Genomic DNA, 22,861 nt, shown 5'->3' with positions numbered 1-22,861 from the left:
GCAGCCATTCAGAAGGAAGAAGTGGTTGAGTTTTTAAACCTGCTTTCCCAAATGCCCTGTTCAAGAGGGTTAGAGTGAGCTCAGGCCACCATGAAGAGAGTTGTATCAACACGCTGTTGGACACTCAGGCAGGCAGAGCCAGGCAGCTGGGAGCGGGGGCCTCTGTGTGAAGAAGCTGCTGGCTGCCCACCCCCAACACTTGTACACAAGCTGCACCATTGGGCAGGTGGGATGCATTTCCAGCCAAAGCCTCCCTCAGTCACCTTGCTCCTGGCCCCCTGTGCGGTTACATCTTCCAGCTCAAATTCTGAAACCTAAGTGCCTTTGCAATTCTGTTTTTCTGGGCCTGAGGATGGCTTTTACTTAAACCACCTAGACCAGAGAAGAACCTCTTTCTGCCTTTCTTCCCCACACTTAAAAAACAACTGGGGGGTGGGTGAGTGAATAATACAGTATCTCGGGGTCTAATGGTTTTAAATATGGAATTATAATTAGGTCCTCATTAGCATTTTGCTAAATGTAAATGATAATCCTAGGCATTTGCTGAATACAGAAGAAGCAAATATATTGGCTTTGGGTTTCAGGACTTCAGGAGGAGAGAAGCAGAGGAAGGAGGAGAATAGGGGACAGGGTCTTCATGGACCGCCTGTAGTAGGGAAGCTGAGAGGGACCCCAGCCTCTGAAAATCAATGTTCTCTGTCTCCCACCTTCCCCAAAGGAGAGCTGGCAGTAGGGAGGGCTTCCACCAACACTGAGATCAAAACTGCTGTACTTCAGCTTTGTTTTCAACTGAACCGGAGTAGCTAGGGAAGATATTCTAGTATTAGGGAAAATGATGTGGAAAAATAAAAGAACCTGGCAAGAATGCATTTTGATTTGCCTTTTTAAAAGACCACCAATTTCCTTCATCTTTCTCTTGGGAAGGTGGAAGATCCAGTATTCACTGTGTCAGTATAGAAATAACTTGGTGGGGGAAGCAGAGGAATCTTGTTTAGCCCAAAAGCAAGTCAAGTGAAAAAGGAGGAGGAGAAAAAATAATTTTCCCTATTAGAGAAATATTCTAGTTTCATTCTGTATTTATAGTCTGCCTCTTCTCTAGGGGAAAAGCAGTTGTGAACTCCCCAAGGTGGTTATGAAGGAAGAGTGTCCCACTCCCTGTCCTAGTGCTGAGAAGTCTTCCCCTTCTACCAGACAGGGTCCTAGAAATTCACCCCCCTGAAATCTGTGAGCCCTCAGCTGTCAAAGGGGAAGTTCATTAAAAAAAAAAAAAAGCCCTTACTTCTGTGCCCTCCCCTTTTGGTTAGGTCTTTGACTTGGATTCAGCTCAGCTAGAATGAAGCACCCATTAACTGTCCAGCCATGACACGGTGACTAACCACTTCATCTGAGTTTTCTGTCCAGGATTTGAAGATTCAGTGATATTACTGGGTACCCAGACAGTTAACCCTCAGGTATTGGGGTATCCCAGAGTAGAGATGTGATTAAAATCAGTCGCGTAACCACAGACCCAAAATTTACCAGACCACAGAAACTTCGGAGTACTCTACCCTTTTAGAAAACTAACCACCACCACCAGATGGGTATAAAAGGATGAAAATGACCCAGTCTTATTTACTGTTTGCCAGGTTCAAGCTGTTACAATCTTCCTCAAGCAGTGATTTTCATTGCTGGGTTTGTCTGTACATTTTAGACTCTGTTGCTGCTTGAGGCAACTTATCAAGTTAACAAAATTCAAGCAAGTGTGAGCTGTTTTTTTTAAAGCAAAATGAAAAATAAAGATTGGCTGGGTGAGATGGCTCACATCTGTCATCCCAGCACTTTGGGAGGCTGAGGTGGGAGGATCACTTGAGGACAGGAGTTCGAAACTAGCCTGATTGATATAGTGAGACCTCGTCTCTACAAAAAGAAAAATGTTTACAAATTAACTGGGCATGGTGGTGTGCACTTGTAATCCCAGTTACTCTGAGGCTGAGATGGGAAAATCTGTTGAGCCCAGGAGTTCAAGGCTACAGTGAGTCATGATTATGTCCTTACATTCCAGCCAAGGCAACAGAATGAGACCTTGTCTCAAAAAAATAAATAAGTAAATAAATACATAAATAAACATAAGCTCCCTGTTTCTAAACTCCTAAGAGATTGTTTTCTTTACTCCTCTGCATTAAGAAAACTGAAAGAATTTGCTTTGAGGGACACAAAATCTTTAGAAACTGTTGGTCTCCATTTATAAAGATGAGGAGATAATCACATTATTTAGGTCCCTGGAACCAGATGTCTAACACTCTTCCCAAAATTACATGAGAACTTGTTAGGGTAATTGTGGGTTTAATATAAGCTGATATCAAAGGGATGTAGTTGTTATACATTAGCAAACATTCATGACAATAACAACACAGCAATGCAGCTAACATGTATTGGACTGTTACCCAATGCCTCTCCCATAGCTAAGCACTTCATAGTGTGGGGAGAAGTGATTGGTTATGATTTCTTGATGCCCAAGGCTTTCCTCTGTAGGCACAACCACCCCATCCTGCAACCTTTCAGCTTGGTAGGATTGACACAGATGGTATTTGGCTTTCCTTCATCTTTATAAACTGACAGTAGTGTATCCCCACCCCCGTCATGGGGGGGTGGTGATCAGTGCATAAGCCAAGACAAAACAAAACATGAGAAGAGCATGAAAATATTGAAACAGACAAGCTGACAATTTTACATTAGCCTAATTTAATGCTCCAAATTATCCTCTAAAATCAGTACTGCTGTTATCCTCACTGGCAGTCAAACATTAGGCATTGACTCCCTCCTACGGCTCATGCTAGCACTTCTCAGTGCTGGTTCCTTTTCCTGGCATTCAGCATAGGACTTTCATTTCTTTTCTTTCTTTCATTTTTGTTTTTGAGATGGTTTTGCTCTTCTCACCCAGGCTGGAGTGCAGTGGCACTATCTCAGCTCACTGCAACCTCAGCCTCCTGGGTTCAAGCAATTCTCCTGCCTCAGCCTCCTGAATAGCTGGGATTACAGGCGCCCGCCACCACACCTGGCTAATTTTTTATGTTTTTAGTAGAGACAGAGTTTCACCATGTTGGCCAGGCTGGTCTCTCTGACCTCAAATGATCCACCCACCTGAGCCTCCCAAAATGCTGGGATTACAGACGTGAGCCACCGCGCCCAGCCAGGACTTTCTTAAAGCAGCACCTTCAATGTATGTGAGGTTCTCCAGAACAGGTTCTGCATCTGTTCTCCCCACTAGAGCAGTCCCACTTTCCCCTCAAGCCACGTCAGTAATTACATAGAACAGCAGAAGTCACACAACTCCAAGACCTCCAGCATGTGAGATAAGATGCTTCAGATCAATGTTTAAGATGGTGCTTTTTCTCCAGCAATAAATTCGAGTCATTGCACATTAAGAAAGTATTACACTGTCTCCATGTTATCTGTTAAGAACGAAATAACCCTTCTTTAAAGTAGTCCTCAAAATTAGGTCTTCATTGCACATTAAGAAAGTATTACACTGTCTCCATGTTATCTGTTAAGAACAAAATAACCCTTCTTTAAAGTAGTCCTCAACATTAGGTCTGCCACTTCCATTAAGGGTATAATCTTGGTATTTTATTGCCTTTTAAAGTTGCTTGTTACTTTAACTCCACCATTTTACAATTCGATGTTGCTTCTATAAAACCAAAGGTTATCATAGGAGAGGCTTTGTGAAAAGCCTCTAAAGGACCCTGACTCGTGGTTCCCTCCCTATCAGGGAAAACACCAAATCTGAAAGGACACTGTGAGAATCCCTTGAGGTGACAGGTTCTGTCTTCAGCTTGCTTGCGTAGGGCTGGTGACTTTGGCAGCCAGACCCTCATAGGAGAGAAACATAAAAAATGGAGCTTTGAAGTTTTCCTCCTGGGACTTGGCACATCTGCCCTGGGACACAGTGCCTGTGGGACTCTGGACCTCAGCACCAGATGTCCTTCTGAGAAAAGCCCAGTGGCGGAGAGAAGTTCCAGAGGAGGGGAGGGATGGAGCCAAGAGAAGAGCTGGGGAGATAATGGAGGAGGCAGCTCCAGAAGTAATTCAGAGCAGAGGGCCCTGCTGTAAGGGCGCATTAGGGACATTTTAACCAGCATATTTTCCCTTTTATGTGTGTATAACCATACCACTGCACCAGAACTCTACACATCTAAAGAAGACTAAGTAAAAGATCTCTATCAAATATTTTAAAGTAAATATTCTAAATGATCAAAAATGCATTTGTTATAGGTAAACTGGCAGCCAGCAGCTTTTATTATTTCTTTGTAATTTGTAAAATAATTATATGTCTTTTAAGCAAGAGCAACTTAGATTTCAGTAAATCTAATCTCTCTCTCAACACATGCACACATTATATTACAGATATATAATGTTTACAAATTTGGGGAAGGATATTGAAGTGTTTGCCAATGCATTTGAAAACTGAAATGAAATGAGTTATTTCCTAAAGATGGTTAAATTGGCAACATTAGCATTAAGAAGTTATAGAAAGGTAGGGAGGATTTTTAAGATAGAAAAATGAAAAAGAAGAAGAGAGTCATGTGAAAATTCTGCTTTTTACGAGATCCAGCACACATGATTTTAATGTTGGCTTCTGTTTCTTCCAGATTTTCTCCAGAGAGAGGAAAGATTTCAAGTTCATTATTCTATGAGGCTATCATAATTTGGATATCAAAAGTAGATGAGAATAGCACACAAAACAAAACCTGTAGACAAACTCTACTTCTTAAAATAGATGCAATAATACTGCCATAGATGCAACTACAAGAAAAAAACAGCAGCATAGTGAAACAATCATATCTCATGACCTAAAGGACTATCTTGGGAATAGAAAATGGCTGATTATTAGAAAGTGTATTGATAAAATCCACTATATTAAGCAATTAGAACATCTTAATAAATCTCCTGAAAAGAAAGCAATAGGTAAAATTTGACATCGATTCTCATTGTTATACAATCAAACAAGGAAATCCAGGATAAAATACAACCTCTGAACCCAATAAAATGTATATACCAAAATCTGCAGCAGACATCAAATTTAATAATTATTTAAAAAATATTCACCACAAGTGTTTAATCTAGAAATGGGATCATATCTGTAAATTAAGAAACAGCCATGTGTGTTGGAAAGAACAAGACTACGTATCCTGATTTGCAGCCAAGATTATACTTTAACAGTTCAAGAGAATCAATTGAATACATCTTAGAATAATTTACTAAGAATGTCCCATTCATGATAGCAAATAGCAAAAATCCTATCAAATACTTAGTAAGAACACAATAGCACATGTATGAGGACCTATTATGAGAAAAAATAGAACTTTTTTGACACAGCAGAGGGGAGAAAGTGTATCCTTTCGGTATATTTCGGTATAAAGCATATTTTGTTATAAAGCTTCCAGTTTAAAAAAAGAAATCTCCAGTAATGACTTCGTTTTCTGACAAAATGTCAGAGAAAAAAAAATCTCCCTTCTACTTCATTAGTTCACGCTTTCTCTCTCTCTAATGGCTGTTAAACTCACCCACTAATTTCTCTCAGTTTCAGCTGCTGTATTTTTTTATTTCCAGTATGTGTATTCTATTTTTTTATATGTTTGTCCTCTACTAAAGCATTCAATCCTGTCTTTTAATGCCTCCAACATATTAATTATATTTGTTTTAATGTCCCTGCTTGATAACTTCATCATCTGAATGTTCTGTGGATCTCTTTTCATTGTTTCTTTTCTTTTCTAGTCGGGTCAGGTTTTCTCTCCTTGAATGCCCAATTATTTTTGATTGAGTGAGAAACACGGTGATAGAAAATTGTAGTGCTCATTCTGGTCTCTAGAGGATAAAATCTTCCTGCAGGAAGATATTGCTTCTGTCAGGAAGCTAGGAAAAGAAGCATTAGCACTCCTGCATCACCTTCATCCAATTAGAGAACCAGGAATTCAGGAACCTGAACCTTTGGAGAGGGCTGTTTCCAGGGCATTCTCACTCCTAAGGTGGAGACTTCTGAGTTCCAACCAAAGCCTAGGGTGTTTACCAAGGCTCTTCCTGGTTGCAAGTTCCTGAAACCTGTGAGCATCTATAGAAGTTCAACTTGGTGCTACAACATCATGATGTCAGCGCAGGGAGTAGTTTAGAAATTACTGATGGATTTTTTTTTTTTTTTTTTTTGAGACGTTGTCTCACTCTGTCACCCAGGCTGGAGTGCAATGGTGCAATCTCGGCTCACTGCAACCTCAGCCTCCTGGGTTCAAGCGATTCTCCTGCCTCAGCCTCCTGAGTAGCTGGGATTACAGGCACCTGCCTCTATGCCCAGATATTTTTTGTATTTTTTTTTTTTAGTAGAGACAGGGTTTCGCCATGTTGGTCAGGCTGGTCTCAAACTCCTGACCTCATAATCCGCCTGCCTTGGCTTCCCAAAGTGCTGGGATTACAGGCATGAGCTACCACGTCCAACCTACTAACAGATATTTTAATCAGATAGGCTGAACTAATCCCCTGATCCTCAAGGTGGTTGGGTGATAAAATTTCCTGTTTAAATGGGACTCTGGCTGGATCTGATAAAGCAGTTGCCCACACAATACAAGTATAAACACACCACATAGGTAGTTTCAAATTTCCTAGTGGTCATATTTTAAAAATATAGACAGAAACTGGTGAAAGTAATCTTAATGCTATATTTTATTTAACCTAATATATGCAAAGTGTTATTATTTTAACACAAAACCAATCTAAAATGCATTGATGATATTTTTTACATTTTTATCTTACCAAATTATCACAATTGGTAGTTTCTAAATGACAGCACAGCTCAGTTAGGACTAACTGCATGTTAAGTTTTGAAAAGCCACATGTGGCTAGTGGTACCACAGTAGTCATCACAGTCTAGAACATTGAAATCAATGCCAAACACTAAAGCAAGGAGTTACATCAACTGTGGACAACCAGCTAAGGTTTGTGAATTTGAAACTAAGATAGTCAGGTTCGGCCAGTCACCCACTTGCAGGGTCTAAATGATGAAAAAGGCTGGCATAGTAAAGCATAATTCTTCAGAAGCTGTCACTGTGCCACTATGCACTCTCCATCAGGATGAGGAGGGCGCTTGCATTCACCCTTCCCATCAAGCAAGGGGGCTTCCAGACACCACTGAGAGACACTGGCTATCCCTCCTGGAACTTGAGAGCCATGAGACCTGGTTTCTGAGACTTGTCTGGAAAAAGCACAAAGGTCAGAGATTGTGGCTGATGATGCCCAGCTCACAAGGGTAAAGACAGCAACCTTTGGAGCAAACTGCTCCTTTTCTGATTTCGGGCCTCACTAGCCTGCAGGAGACAGTGCATTGAATAAAAGGACCCACCCACACCTGTCTCAATTCCCTTGCAACTTTCTAGTCCTGAAACAAGCCCAAGTTGGCAAAGAAAACATTTTTTTTTTTTGAGGTGGAGTCTCGCTCTGTTGCCCAGGCTGGAGTGCAGTGGCACGATTTCGGCTCACTGCAGCCTCCACCTCCCGGATTCAAGCAATTCTCCTGCCTCAGCCTCCTGAGTAGCTGGAACTACAGGCGTGCGCCACCACTCCCGGCTAATTTTTGTATTTTTAGTAGAGACAGGGTTTCGCCATGTTGGCCAGGATGGTCTTGATCTGCTGACCTCGTGATCCGCCCACCTCGGCCTCCCAAAGTGCTAGGATTACAGGCGTGAGCCACCCCATGCCCAGCCAGAAATCAATTTTAATGTGATAATAATGGAAGTTTGATCATTACATTGGACTGACCAACACAATTACTGAGATGAGACTGTTCCTATAACCAAAGGCACCAGAAAGCCACAATACCTATCCAAGATGTTAATTGAGAGGTAAGCAGAAAAGAAACAGGTTCACAGAGTGAATTTTGCATGCAGGGATTAGACACAATAAAGCTTCTCTGGTATTTTCCTGATCTGAGTCCTCTTCATTCAATAAACTGGTTACCTGAGGGGGTTTTTGTTTCACCTCTTGTGGCCGTAGGTAGGGGACCAGAAAGAGCTAAGAGAACCTGAGAATCAGGTGAGATTTGGGCTCATTCTGCACTGTGGAGGATGCTTCCCCAGAGTCATACGCTTCATCAGTGGGACCAGCACAGCACCCAGAGGGGCAGATGGTCTTATCGCACTTCAGTGGTCTGGTCCGTGTTGCCCAGGGACCAGACTATCAGCTCTATCAGGTCAGAGCCCTGGTGTCATCCAGAAGCTCCTATCATTCAGGGCTCACTTCCTGGGCTGTGGAATCTTCTCTTGCCACTTCGGAAGGTGGAAGGAGATGGGAAACTTGGAGAGAAGCAATCAATAGCTTTGACAAGCAAGTTAAAATTGTATTTTTCTATTTATTGGTGAGGGACTAGTTAAACTGGAAGAGATTCGAATTTTGGGTAAAAAACAAGTTTTTGTTTTTGCTATTAACCAAAAATAAAAAAATGCTCTTTCCTTTAACCCAAATGCCATCACCATGAGTCCAGAGAAAGATCATACCAGCTACCTAAAATAAAGGGTGCTGCACACATAGGCACAAGCTGTATTACATTTTATAAAGGAAATCAACAATTTCCTTGAGAGCGTGATATTTGAGTGGTATCAAAAGAAGCATAAAGGTTAATTTTTGTGGCAGGAGGATGAAGGAAGCAGATAATTATAGGGAAATATAGCATAAGCTATGGGAGAAGAAGTCAAGCTGTTGGAGTCAGGAAGCTATAATTTTGGAGACAGGAGGGCTCATGGTGATTGCCCAGGCACCTTTTATTTTGTAGATGAGAAAATTCTGTCAAATGATTGCAGAATGTCTCACAATTAGTAGTCAAGCTGGTGGAATCCAGTGAAACTTAATTCAGAGATTTTCTTCCCCCACCAAAGCATGCTCTAACTTTTCCCCAGGGAACTGTTCTTCATTGACTCCATTTTTCTTTTTGTAATTCAAAGGTAATTCAGCACTATATATTTGCTGTGGTTTGAACGTCTCCTCCAAAATTCATGTTGAAACTTTATCCCCAATATGGCAATACTGAGAGGTGGGACATTTAAGAGGTGATTGGGTCATGAGAGCTCTTCCCTCATGAAAGAATTATTCCACTCATGGGTTAATAGGTCAATGGGTTATGGTGGGAGGGGAACTGGCAGATTTATAAGAAGAGGAAGAGAGGCCTCAGCTGGCACACTCTGCCCCCTCACCATGTGATGCCCTGCACTGCCTCAGGATTCTGCAGAGAGACATCACCAGCAAGAAGTCTCTCACCAGATGCTCCCTGTTTATCTTGGACTTCCCAGCTTCCATAAGAAGCAAATTCCTTTTCTGTATAAACTACCAGTTTCAGGTATTCAGTTATAAGCAAGAGAAAATGGACTAATACATTATTCTATGAGATTTTGGCTTTAGGAAGCTGAGGTGGGTGGATCACGAGGTCAGGAGTTCAAGACTAGCCTGGCCAAGATGTTGAAATTCTGTCTCTACTAAAAATACAAAAAATTAGCCACGCGTTGTGGCGGGTGTCTGTAATCCCAACTACTCGGGAGGCTGAGGCACAGAATTGCTTGAACCCAGGAGGTGGAAGTTGCAGTGAGACAAGATCATGCCTGGGAGACAGAGCGAGACTCCATCTCAAAAAAAAAAAAGAAAAAGATTTTTTTCCTCTCCTTCTTCTTCTCCTTTTTACTTTTAATGTCACTGGCTTGGGAAGACTGTATTTATCAATGACAGACCCAACAATATCCTGTTATGATGGAACATTTGGGTCCTCTGAAATTAATATGCTGGAGCCCTAATTTCCAATGTGGTTTTATTTGGAGATGGGGCCTTAACTAATTAAGGCTAAATGAAGAAATGAGATCATAAAAATGGAGCCCTGATGTGATAGAATTGGTGTCCTTCTTATAAGAAGAGGAAAATCGCTCTCCTCCCTGCTGCCACCCCATGTAAGGATACAGTGGGAAGACAGCCACCTGCAAACCAACAAGAGAGCCCTTACTGGAAACCAAATTGGCCAGAACCTTGATCTTGGACCTCCAACCTCCAGAACTGTGAAAAATAAATTTCTGTTATTTAAGCTACCAACTCAACAGTTTTTGTTATGGCAGCCCAAGTAGTTTATACACATCCCATCCTCCATGCTCTTCTTCAATGTGGCCATCCTAGTCCCCACTAAAGCCACCCTGCTGAAGCTGGGCTGGCCTCAGGAACTTGGTCAGAAAGCATGGACCTCAGCCCGGTTCTCTTGGGACACTTGCTGTCTGGACGATCCCTTTTGAAACCCTCCTTTTCAGAGCTCAGCCTCCAGGCTGTGAGAAACTCAAGTCACATGGAGATGCCATGTGCAGGCACAGAGCCCCAGCTGATTCCAACCTTTGAATCATTGCATTCTGGGCACCAGACATGCGAGTGAGAAAGCTTCCAGATGGTTCCAGCCTCTAGCTGGCCAAGCAAACCACAAAGTTCCAGGTTGTCCCAGCTGAAGCCCTAGACATCGTGGAACAGAGATGAGCTATCTCTGCAGCACGTGTCTGAACTCCCAATCACAGAATCTGCAAGTATAGTCAAATGGTCATTTATGCCATCAAGTAGGGGCATTTTGTGTGTGCATCCATGGTAACTGAAACCTGACATTTCTTTCAGGGAAATTTCCTCAGTGGGTGTTGTCTGGCCAACTCTATCAATCCCACCCTGTCTGACTTGTGAGACGTAGGGAGAGCAGAGATAAACATGGGAGAGAAAACCTCCTGGGGGTGAGCTAATGACAGCTTGTAGAATAGAGTTCACAGTGTTTCTTATTTATGTTCTTTCTCCCCATTTTATTATTTTTATTATGAGATGGGGACTTGCTCTGTCACCGGGGCTGGAGTGTAGCAGTGCAATCGTAGCTCACTGCAGCCTCGAATTCCCGGGCTGAAGTGATCCTTCTGCCCCACCCTTCCAAGTAGCTGGGACTACAGGTGTAAGCCACCATACCTGGCTAATTTTTAAAAATTCTTTTCAAAATTTATTTATTTATCTCTCTATTTGTTTGCTTACAAGTTCTCACTAAGTTGCCCAGGCTTGTATTGAACTCCTGGCCTCAAGTTAATTCTCCTACCTGGACCTCCCAAGTAGCTGTTTACAAGCACGAAATACTATGACCAGCCCTCCAACTTTATTCTTGATGGTAAGTTTCCAAATTGCTTACTTTAACTACAAGTGCCTCTGAGCTTCTAACTTGGGTTATACTCAAGACTATGTTTACTCATCACAACATTGAAAGTTGAATCCGTCAAAATGTTCAAAGCACTCCATGCTGGTCCTTTTGTTCAAGTTAGACCAGCCCAAGTCACTACTCTTACCAGACAGAAACCAGAGTATCTACAAGGGAGTAAAAGCATCAAGTGGAAAGACAGGAAAAGCAAGAGTCAGCGTGGTCTCTCCTTGGAAAAAGGCAACCAGGACTCAAGAACAGGCTTCAACTAGCTACTTGCCTGGTAGTAGGTTGATTATAGTACAGTTTATTGTCCAAACAGGAAAGGGATGCTCTTCATAATTACACTGGAACAACAAGCATGCATCTGGTGTAATTCCATTTATGTAAAATTCTAGGAAATGTAAACTAATGTATAGTGACAGAAAGTATCTTAGTGTCTGCCTGGGGTGGGGAGGAGGGTTGGGCCGGAGGGAGTAAGAGTAAGCATAAGGAGACTTTAGGGAAGATTGGCATGTTCTTCACTTGGATTGTGGTGATGGTTTCACAGGTGTACACAAATGTCAGAACTTTTTGAGGTATACACTTTAAATACATGCAGGTTATTGTTTGCCAATTATATCTCCACAAAGCTATTAAACAGTCTATACCACAGCCAAGATTATGTTGCTGGACGTTCTGATAGTATCTTTTTGTAAAAGAAATGAAAATATTGCAAAAACATCTTTTCTAACCTCCTAACCTTCCCTTATTCTCTCACCTCCTACGCCATTTCCCCAAAGTAACACCTATCAAGATGGTAGCGTACTTTCCAGGCACAATTTTATACATATTCTGTGTGTACATATCCATTAAGTTTATTTGTTTTCTTTTGTGGGCGCAGAATCTTTGCATAAGTATTATCATATTGAGGAAATTATCTAATTTGTGACCACCGGGAGAAAAAAAAATTCTCCTTTTGCTGTCTTCTCTCCAGATCTGAGTGCCAGCTAGCCTCCTGGGGTTGCTTTTCAGGAGCCCTTAGGTTATGACCCCTGTTTATTAGAGGCGTTGTATTCTCCTTGGTTGCACTCCTTTTGTTTGTTTTTGCAACAGTGTATTTTCAAGAGATCTTAGAAAATATTTTTCTGCACCTTCAGAAAAGTACATAGATGAAAAGTAAACTTTCTAATCCTTCCCCGAATGTCTAAAAGTGTATTTTAAAATTTTTTTCAATTACATTTGATCTATAGTTTGACTGGGAATAAATTTTAAGTTCCAAATCATTTTCCTAAGAACATTCAAGCACTGTTCCATCATCTTTTAAAAACTAGTGTTACTGATGGAAACTTTTCTACTAGTCTTTTTCTTCTTCCATTGCAGGTAACATGCATGTTGCTTTTAGAATGTTTTAGTGTCTTTGTTTTATTCTTAGTTTTCTGAAATTGCCTTAGGATGTGCCTAAATGAAGATCTAGTTGAATATGTATATATTCCTTTTTTCTATCATTGTTTAAAACATATAATAAACTCCCCCTTTTTTCTCTCTCTTTTACTTTTGTAGACTCCTAATAGAAGATAGCATTTCTGAATGAGCAATCTCTGTTCTCTGTCTCTAGTTTTCTCTGTCTCTAGTTTTCTCTGTCATGTTTCTCATCTCTTTGTACTGAGACATTTCTTACTTTATAAATTAGTTCTATTGAACTGTTTTCTTTAGGTACAATATTTTTAATCCCATGAACTGATTCTATGTTCTGATTTTATACCTTCCGAACAATAGTCTGTTCTTAAATTGCGAATGTAATTTCTTCTCTTCTAACTCTGAATAGAGGTTTGAAAGTACCTCTTAGTTCTCTGGATTGTCTTTGTTTCTTTTCTTTTCTTTTTTTTCTTTTCTTTTCTTTTTTTTTTTTTTTTTCTTGAGACAAAGTTTCACTCTTGTTGCCCAGTCTGGAGTACAATAGCACAATTTTGGCTCATTGCCACTTCCGCCTCCCAGGTTCAAGTGATTCTCCTGTCTCAGCCTCCAGAGTAGCTGGGATTACAGGCATGTACCACCACGCCCGGCTAATTTTTTATTTTTAGTAGAAACGGGATTTCACCATGTTGGCCAGGTAGTCTTGAACTCCTGACCTCAGGTGATTCACCTGCCTCGGCCTCCCAAAGTGCCGGGATTACAGGCATGAACCACCATGCCCGTCCGATTATCCTTGTTTCTTCTGGGATCAATTCTATTCACTCCCTCCTAGACCCTGTTCTTTTCTTTCATTTTCCTTTGATTCTTTTTCTTGGAGTATGAGTTTATAAATAAATCATATGGATGATTTATTCAGAGAGTTCACAAGGTTTTCTTCTACCATTACTCTCATTTTTTGGTCCTTCTCCAGGGTCTGAGGGCTTCTTGCAAGGTCTGACTACAGGTAAGATACATCACCTGGTGACTTCTTTAAGGGTATAAATAATGATAAGGGAAATTGGCAGGCCTACTCAAGCATCAGATACAAAACTGGGCCGTATCTCAGGGCCTCTATTGTTTTAGGAGCCCTAGCTTCTCTCCTAAGCAGGCATTTCTGCCTTTAGTCTGGGAGTAAATACTGGCTGTAGGAACAAAAGGTGGAAAAGCCTACCATGACCCCAATTCTATTCTCAGAGTTGCTCTAAACTTATTCTGTTTATATATTTCAATCCCAGGATCATGACCCAAATAAACTACATGCATTGAATCTGCTCTCAGTTCTGGTTCTGGAGGAACACAAAGATATTCTCCTGAATTCAACACTTGCCTGCAGAATCCAGAGATTTCCTTTCTTCAATTCACCAACTAAGGGTTTGTAAATATATTACATGTCACTTTGTATTTTTACAGAAAAATAGTGTATATAAACTCCAAAGCTGCCAGAATCACCGCTGTCCATTTTATGACACTGTAAAATGAGGAAGGTTTTTGCATAGATTGCACTGCACTGCCCTTCTTGAATCTTTCATGCACTAACCCTGACCTTGCCTTCCACAGCAGACCAGAAAAAAAATAATTCTATAATCTAATAGTGTCCACTTACTTTTGACTTCTGGACAACCCTGGTTTTTATGAAAGATTTCCCTCCTGTGCTTTAATAATTAATAGGTTGGTGCAAAAGTAATTGCGGATTTTGCCATTAAACCTGCAATTACTTTTGCACTAATGTAATAGCTAACAAAATAATGCATTGCATTGTATCTATTCATCAAGTTAGTTAAATAATGAGTGACTGATCACCTATTTGGTGCCAGGCCTTTTAGAAGATATAACATCCATCATCACAGCCCATCACAAAGTTTATAGTCTAGTGAGAAAGACACACAAACGATAATTATGATGCATGAGATAAGGGCCATGAGAAAAGAATGCTCAGCACTGTGACAGCCCAGGAGGGATGCGGGTCCCTGACTTCAGCAGCAAAGAAGCTTCCCAGGATGAAGTGAACTGAAGGGTGAAGAATAGAGCTTTGCTCATCAGAAGGACCAGGTGTCTTGAGCAGAGAAAGCAGCATTTATGAAATACACCCTTCCATCTGCTAGATCAGTGATTTTCAATTTTTTTTTTTTAAAGAAACAGAACAGGCCAGGCCTGGTGGCTCACATCTGTAATCCCAGAACTTTGAGAGGCCTAGGCAGGTGGATCACTTGAGCCCAAGAGTTCAAGACCAGCCTGGACAACTTCGCAAAAACCCATCTCTACTAGAAAATACAAAAAAACAGCCTGGAATGGTGGCGCGCACCTGTAGTCCCAGCTACTTGTGAGGCCTAGGTGGGAGAATCACCTGAGCCCACGGAAGTCGAGGCTGTAGTGAGCCATGATCAAGCCCTTGCACTGTAGCTTGGGCAAGGGGAGTGAGACCCTGTCTCAAAATAAATAAATAAATAAAATAAAGAAACAAAACAATTGCTTCAAACACAAGTTTCTTGGAATGCCCAGTAGGTACAACTGAGAGGCTCTGGGAATTTGAGGAGTGGAGCTGAAGAACACCATCCTTCCCTTTGGAATAATCTCCTTGTCAAACTCACAGTCTCAGTTCAAAGTTTTCTCCCAACTCTGGCAGCATCACGTCCTCTTTTGTCCAAGGCAGCCCCAGTGCAAGGGCATCCCCTTGTGCTATGAGACATACACTCTCTTCACTGTGAGTCTACATGACTTAGATACCGCTCCATAAATTAAAGAAAATTACTCCTACCACCAGCTGTCCTGAGAAGGACCACTCCAAAACAACGTAGGAGGAACATTAAGAGCTGGATCAAAATGCCTTTTTGGAAGGGGCTCCATTTCCACAGCTAGTGACTCTGACTCACATGCACAGCTAGTCAGTCAGAGAGGGAACGAGTCAGCAAGAAATGGGAAAGCAAAGGAAGGAATTACTCTCCCTAGGAACATGAGATTTTTGAAAAATGTATGTTCAATTTTATTTATTACTTCTTAGATGTTGGGAACTGAGAAGTCAGAAATGGAGCAGAAAGATAGGACGTTGCTCTGGAGGCCAAAGCTCCAGCTGGCTGAAGAGGCAACAGGTCATTAGTTGTTAAGGGGCACCCATGTGTAATATTTAGTTTTAAGTTTTTTGTAAAGCATCCTGGTTGGGGCAGTGGAGCCTGAAGTCAGCGTGTACTGGGTCACAAGAGCCAATTTTAAATTGTCAGGAATTTTACAGGCTAGTCATTAAACCTAGCAAGTATTCAAGATTAAATAACAGAAATTTTAAATTAAATAAACCACATTTTTAAGAAGATAAATACTCAAAACGTATCAGTTTCTAATAATTTCACTACATTGTAAACCTATGCTTTTGAGATTACTGAAATCTATACTGTATGTCTGGGGGAAACACTGTATAATATGATAATAAAGTATTATATAGTAACATAATGCACTCTAATTCCTCCCGGACTCTGCTCAGTGATGTCATATTGGTAGCTTGAAGGATTTGTATCACAGGATTTGGCAAATGCTTCAAACCAGGGCGTTTTTGTTTGGAGAGCAGGTCATTAAACTTCCACCAGTGAGCCAGTGGGTCAAGGGCACAGTGTCTGGAAGCAGCCACTTGAAGATCTAGCTCAGTCAGTTGCTGGCTGTGTGACCTGAGCAAGTCATTTCATCTTCTTCTGCCTCACTTTTCCCATATGGTTATTTTGAGGACTGCATCAATCAAAAATTGTAAAACACTTAGAACATTACCTGGCACAGAGTACCTATTATATAATTGTTACCCATTATTGGTGCTGTTGTTGTTAGATTTATTTACATAATAATAGTAATACACCTCTTATAAATGCCTGACTCCTTCCTGAACCCTCACAAACACACACAAAAGCCTGGCTTTCCCAGTATCCATCCACTGAGTCTACATAGTTACAGGATCCCCACCTATTACCTGAAAACACAGCGCCTATCACGAGGCCAGCCTTCCCTGCTTCCTTTGACAGATCTGAGCAAAGTTTTGAAACCGTATGTGTCAAGGAACAGCTACCTATAGCCTTTCTTAAGAGATATCTGAGTGGCAGCCTTGCCTCTGCCTCTTCACCCCTCTTCTTTCTCTGCAGGCTGGATCCCACAATGGTGGGATCCCCAGCAGCCATTTTGTACTCTGAGGTGACTTTGGGAATGCAGGCTCCATGATGGAGCAACAATATGGAAGTCACCTAGGTCCCCAAGGACTCCGCACCAGGCCTTTCCTGGGAAAGAGAAATGAGTTTCTGTGTTGTTGATGCCCTTATAGTGCGTTCCTTGAATCAGCAGATCCTTTCAGGTTTTAGAATCTCACTCTTCCTCAAGTCTGCTGAGGTGCACAGTAATAAAATCTGCATTTAACACAATCATGGGGTGTTTCCTGTGCGCATTAAAGTCTGAGAAGCCCTGGTTTAAGCTGCTATAATGTCGGCCATTCTAATTCTCAGCTGAGCTCTATCCTAACTGCTTTAGCCCTGTTAGGATCAAATCTGTGCATAGCAACCAATAGAAGGGGTGGTGCACACCGGGGTTCTCAGGATGAGAAGGAACAAGACATGGCATGGTAAAGACAACTTATCAGAGGCAGGAACCTGGAGCCAGTGCCTCAGCAGAGAAAAAGTTCTTGGTGGGTAAAAAGAGGAGTGACTGGCTTTTGTAAAAATCTTGAAATACAAAGTTATACCAGTCTCCCCATTAGTCTGGCCCACGTGGCATCTGGATAACAGATTTAACATCTAATTCCCTGTTAGTCAACAAGCCACTCCTCTAGGAGCCTGGATCTTGGAAATCCAACTCCCAAGGCTGAGCCACTGTTTCTGGCACCACATTCTGACATTATCAGATTACAGTAAGTTATTTGCTCATTTCTCTCTCCCCTCTCAAGCCTGATGAATGGACTTTCTGGGGAGCTTCTCATTTTATGTCTTGAGTGTAAGTTGAATTAATTTTTCTCATCTTATTAATTTTAGTTTCTATCTAGCAACAAACTGTGGGCTTCTTCATCACCTTTCTCTCTCTTCAGGCCTCCTCATCACAGGATAATGATGCCATCTTGTTGACCATCTGGACTTCCTCCACAGCTCTCTGTCTTCCTTAGCCACTTTGCCCATCAGCTTCCTTTCCTATTTTGGGTGGAGGGTTGCACAAGACAAAGGCAAGACACTTTCCCTGGTAAAGAGAAATCCTAAAGCTAGCTTGGGAAGTGTTTTAAAACGCAGGTTTTATTATGATTCAGGTAAGGCGAGGCCAACAGATGTAGAGATGACTTCCATTAAAAAGATAGTATTTTGTACTTACAGATCCCAAGTGGGGTCACGCCACGCCACCAGGGCCACATGAGAAAGCATGGGGTCCGTAAGGAGACAGAGAGAGTGAGGAGAAAAGGTGGGTAAGAGCTTTTATTGTGGTTGTTGTGGAAAGAAATGGACAAGGCAGAGTAAACAGGCTAAGCAGATTTAGGATCATCTGGTTTGAATAATTTCAATGTGTTTCAGGTACAGGCTTTGCCTTGAGTTGTCTGGTCCCTGGTCTTCAGGTAATTAAGGCAGAAGAAGATTGGCTAGAGTGTATGAGCAAGATTGGGCTCTGGATTGGTTCTTTTGCATGAGAAAGGCACACTCTTGGGAAGTGTTTGCTACCTCTTAGCTGACTCTAGAAATTCTCTCCACAGTCAGCAGGACCCCTGAATCCAGAGCATTAAGACTACAGAAAATAAGAGACTATAATGAATACAGGAAGGCTTAGCAGAGACAATGATTTGGACTTGAAGGAGTATGTGGCCTAGAAAGGTAGAGAGATGATTCTATGCCAAGTAAAAGCGCAAAAGGCCTGTCTGAGAAAGATGACAGTGAGTGCAGGATAGGGAAGAGGTAGGTGGCAGGAACTGTCAGCTGCTTGCTAAGAGCTATGCAGCCACTCTTGTGGTGGCCAGCTAAGGCAGACAATGATAGAAGGTGGAGCCAAGGACCTTCAATCCATTGTTGAATTCCAAAAAGAAATGTGTACCTTCTCATTCCAGACTCCAAGTTCTACGACATAGCAAGCTGCCCTCTTACTGAAAGCAGTTAGTTCCAAGCTTCTCTGACATGTGAGCCAAAAGCACTGCAGACTGATACAAGGCTGGTGTAATGAAGGCAGAGGGCTGGCCAGACTGGCCATGTCTACCAGAATACCAAGCTGAAGGGCAACAGGAAGAGCCATGATCATAACATTTTAAAGAGATGACTTAAGATATTGCATAATATTTAAAATATGCATATATTTAATAATTCTTATAAAATATATAATAAATTGCATATGTAACAATGCATAAAATGGACTCAAGGGGAAATAGAATCAAGAAAAATATCAAATAGAAAGTAACTAAACTCATGAATGGATGAGCATCCAGATTGTGAAAATAAAGAAGAAAAGAGAAGTCTAAGAATGTTTTAATAGAGTGGCCACTGCACTTGGCAACATTGGATGCAGCACTGAGAAGGTAAGCTACTTGGAACTCCCATGACCAGGACAGTAATGGTGCCTTACAGCGAGAGCTGTCAATAAAACAGGCATGGCAGAGCCATCCAGACCCCAGCAAGCACATGCAGCCTGTGACTCAGGTCTTTGTGCAAGCTGACAAGCTGCTGTTCACAGACAGAAGTCTGAATATTACTTGCCATAACAGATGAAACAAATCTTTCACTCATGAAAAAAAAAAAAAAAGAAGAGACTATTTTTGAGATTTGATGATAAATATATTTTTGAAGTAAGGAACTTGGGTTTCTAGAGCAGTGATAATGCCATCTGATATTTTTTCTTACCACAGCCATGTTTGGTTATTATTATTCTTCACAACTTAATTATGAAGAAATGAAGGCTTAAAAAGTTCAAGTACAATTTACTTGTGTTCACACAACTGGAAGTTATAGAGCTGGTAGCTACAAACACATGTTTACTATAAAGACAAACAAGCGGGGGGGGGTGATGTTTTAAACTAAAAGTCTTTTTATTTCTTTAATCTGGCCTCAAAATCTTCACCTACTATTTAAATAATGTTAAAAGCTCCTCCTGAATTAGCCAGTAACTAATTTTACTCCAGTATTTATAAATAGATCTGACAATTTTTACCAGTTTGGAAAATAGAGCAGAACAGATAATCTCTATAAACACAGGGATTAACTTTTTTTTTTTAATCTTTACTGCAGGACCTGGATCAAAAGTTCCCATGAATTTAGGGTACTACATTTCAGAGAAGAGTTGGAAAAGAGCGCTTGCAAAAATGTGGGTGATATGGACCTCGACAGGCAGGTATGGAATGTGGATTTATAGGCTGTTGCTCACCTTAAGACTCCCAGAGTGGAATGTGAACCCAACTCACACAGCGGTCAGGTTAGTGACACTGGCAAACAGCCCTGACCCCACCCATGGCACACAGCACTGGGGGTTTTCTCCACGTGGATCCATGCCTGGATGGGACCAGAGACTGTCATTCACTTCATCTAGATCGGCCACCTCCTGAAGCTCTGTTCAAGGTAAGCATCGTGTCACGCTGGGCAAGTACAGCTCATCCTCTTTGCTCCTTTCTGGTGGTGCGAGGGATCTCCTGCCTGGGCAGGAAGGGACTCTGTCTTCACTGTGCATCATATATGATCCTTGCTCAGGTATGGGTCCTGGTAAAACACCAAGGAGAAGGCATCCAAAGGAGTTCTGTGATCCACATTCTTCGAGCACGGGCCACTGACCACCAATATCTACCAACTAAAATGCAGGGCACGAAACCCTGAGTGAACAAAAGACAGAACACCTTTTTATAAGGAAAGACGATTCAAAGGCCCTTTTCTAGATTAACCATGTTAAATCAGTGTATGTCCTTCAGAATATAAAACAGATAGCTCTGAATATTGATTTTTAAAATATCATCCTCCAAGCAGCTTTTCAAGGTGGCTGGCCTCACTCTCTGCCTTGTTTCTAATTGTGCAATGTCCTCATTCCCAGAGCTGCCCCAGGGAACCTGTGCTCCTCCCCACTCCAATGCATTGCTTGAAGGCTTCCATAGCACTTGACGGAAAGAACATCCCCCTCCCCACCCGAGACCCTCTCCTAGTGGGCTCCTATAATCCCCCAGTGGCTCCAGCCTTAAGCAACCCGAGACATTGCCTGATCCCTGGCTCCAGCAAAGCCACACGGGACCAGTACTATAGAGGACTCTGTTTCCTGAACCCAGAGGAGTGTTCTGCCATAAGACCCAGATGGTCGCTGCAGCCTCCTGCCTGGCTTGTGGGTCAGATCCTGCCTGATATAATGTGTCTAAATCAAAGCTTAGTTCCCAGGTGCCTGCTATCAGATTTGCCCATTTTAGTCCTACGTTTTCTGGGTCAGCCGGATAATGGACCTCATTTACCGGTTGGTTATTACCGCTTGGCTTCATCAGGCCATGCATTTGCTTCCTGTGACTGCTGTAGCACCTTACCACAAACTGGGCGACTTCACCGAAATGCACTCTGTCATACTCTGGAAGCCAGATGTCTGCAGTCAAGATGTCAGCAGGACCATGCTCCCCTGAAGGCTCTGGGGAGGACCCTTCCCTGCCTCTCCCAGCCCCTCCACGCTCCCTGTGTCAGCATCATCCCCTCTCTGCCTATCTTCACATGGCCATCGCCTCCCGCGTGTCTGAGTCTTCAAGTCTCTCCTTGCAAAGACACCCATCATTGGAGGCAGAGCCTGCTGTAATCCAGTATGACTTCATCTTAACTTGGTTACATCTATGAAGACCCCGTTTCTAAGTCAAGTCACATTCACAGGTACTGGGAGTTAGGACTTGAACCTACATTTTTGGGGAACTCAGTTCAGCCCGTTGCAGGCTACATGCCCCTGGCCTGGCCTAGGGAGCTGGAACCACTGTTTGCTGTGTGCTATGTAAAGCCATCTGCTAGCGTATCAGAGATCCATGCAGCCCTCTCCGCCAACAAATCAGGAGGGGCTATGTGGATGGGACAGATTTTGTCACTGTTTTTTGTTGTTGTTGTTTATTTCATTCCACTCACTGTTTTTATTTTTTTAGAGGGAGGAATGGGAGGAGGTGGAGGTCGGGATGACCTCTCTGGGCTAACCCGGGCTGCCCTCATGTCCCTCAGTTCCTGGGACCCAATGTGGAACCCCTGATAGCTGCGGCTGGAAATCCAGGCTGGTCGTGGGCCTGAACCCCACCCCTGGGCAGATCATAGCCATGGTCCCTGCAGCCACTCTCTGCCACCTTCACTCTGGGGATGAAGTGCAGATTCCAGGATGGGAGCCGGCCCTCATCATGACCACCATCATGGACTGTCTAGGCCCTCAGCCCTGGAGCAGTTTCTCCCAAACTCTCAGATAATAAAAATCCACTGTGGGACTCAAACAAACAAACAAGCAAACAAACAGAATAGGACGTCATGACTCATAACCTCCCAGAAGGAGCTGGGTGCTGTTTATGTTGGCATTTCTTCTCGTGATTCTCCTCATCCATGACTTTGGAACCACTCTTAAAGGAGCCTTGCACCATCTGATATGGTTTGGATGTCCCACCCAAATCTGATGTTGAATTGTAATCCCCAGTGCTGGAGGTGGGGCCTGGTAGGAGGTGTGTGAGTCATGGGGTTGGATCTCTTATGGCTTGGTACTGAGCTCCTGATAGTGAGTTCTCAAAAGATCTGATCATTTAAAAGCGTGTGGCCTCTCCCCACTCCCTCTTGTTCCTGCCTTCCTGATGTGATGCGCAAGCTCTCACTTTGCCTTCTGCCATGAGTAAAAGGTCCCTGAGGTCTCCCAAGAAGCGATGCCTGTGCTACGCTTCCAGTGCAGCCTGCAGAACCATAAGCCAATTAAACCTCTTTTCTTATAAATTACCCAGTCTCAGATATTTCTTTGTAGCAATGCAAGAATGGCCTAATACACTATCCTAAGGCCTGGGCTTCTGTTCAGTGTCACCCAGCCAAACTTTGTTTCTAAGTGATTGGAGTTTAGTCACAATAACAGCAACACCCACTCCAATAGACCATTCCTGCTGCCCAGGGCCTGTCCTGGTGCCCAACTATGGCTCTGATTTTGTGAGTGGGCCTAGGGCTTCTAATGACTGTTGAGCTCAGAATTAAAAGTGGAGTCTGGGGTGTGTGTCTGCATGCATGTGTATGTGTGCATGTGTGTGCATTCAAGAGTGTGTGTGTGCATTCACAGGTGTTTCATTAATGA

General features: G+C 42.4%; 3 annotated features.

The window, feature by feature from the left end:
* Window positions 2,808-2,867: an enhancer, noted in NCBI's record as "active region_28568". NCBI's record gives its function as "activates an Ori minimal core promoter by ATAC-STARR-seq in GM12878 lymphoblastoid cells {active_cell/tissue: GM12878}" and the evidence as "EXISTENCE:reporter gene assay evidence [ECO:0000049][PMID:35858748]".
* Window positions 17,202-18,401: an enhancer, noted in NCBI's record as "BRD4-independent group 4 enhancer chr9:92824519-92825718 (GRCh37/hg19 assembly coordinates)". NCBI's record gives its function as "activates an origin of replication core promoter dependent on BRD2, P300/CBP, MED14 and CDK7 cofactors, and independent of BRD4, by STARR-seq in HCT116 cells {active_cell/tissue: HCT116}" and the evidence as "EXISTENCE:reporter gene assay evidence [ECO:0000049][PMID:35650434]".
* Window positions 19,207-20,406: an enhancer, noted in NCBI's record as "CDK7 strongly-dependent group 2 enhancer chr9:92822514-92823713 (GRCh37/hg19 assembly coordinates)". NCBI's record gives its function as "activates an origin of replication core promoter dependent on BRD2, BRD4, P300/CBP, MED14 and CDK7 cofactors, with strong dependence on CDK7, by STARR-seq in HCT116 cells {active_cell/tissue: HCT116}" and the evidence as "EXISTENCE:reporter gene assay evidence [ECO:0000049][PMID:35650434]".

This window comes from Homo sapiens, chromosome 9, assembly GCF_000001405.40.
Source record: "Homo sapiens chromosome 9, GRCh38.p14 Primary Assembly".
In the NCBI taxonomy this organism is placed as follows: Eukaryota; Metazoa; Chordata; class Mammalia; order Primates; family Hominidae; genus Homo; species Homo sapiens.
Note: the sequence above shows the minus strand (reverse complement) of the source record. Positions and strands in the feature narration are given on the sequence as shown.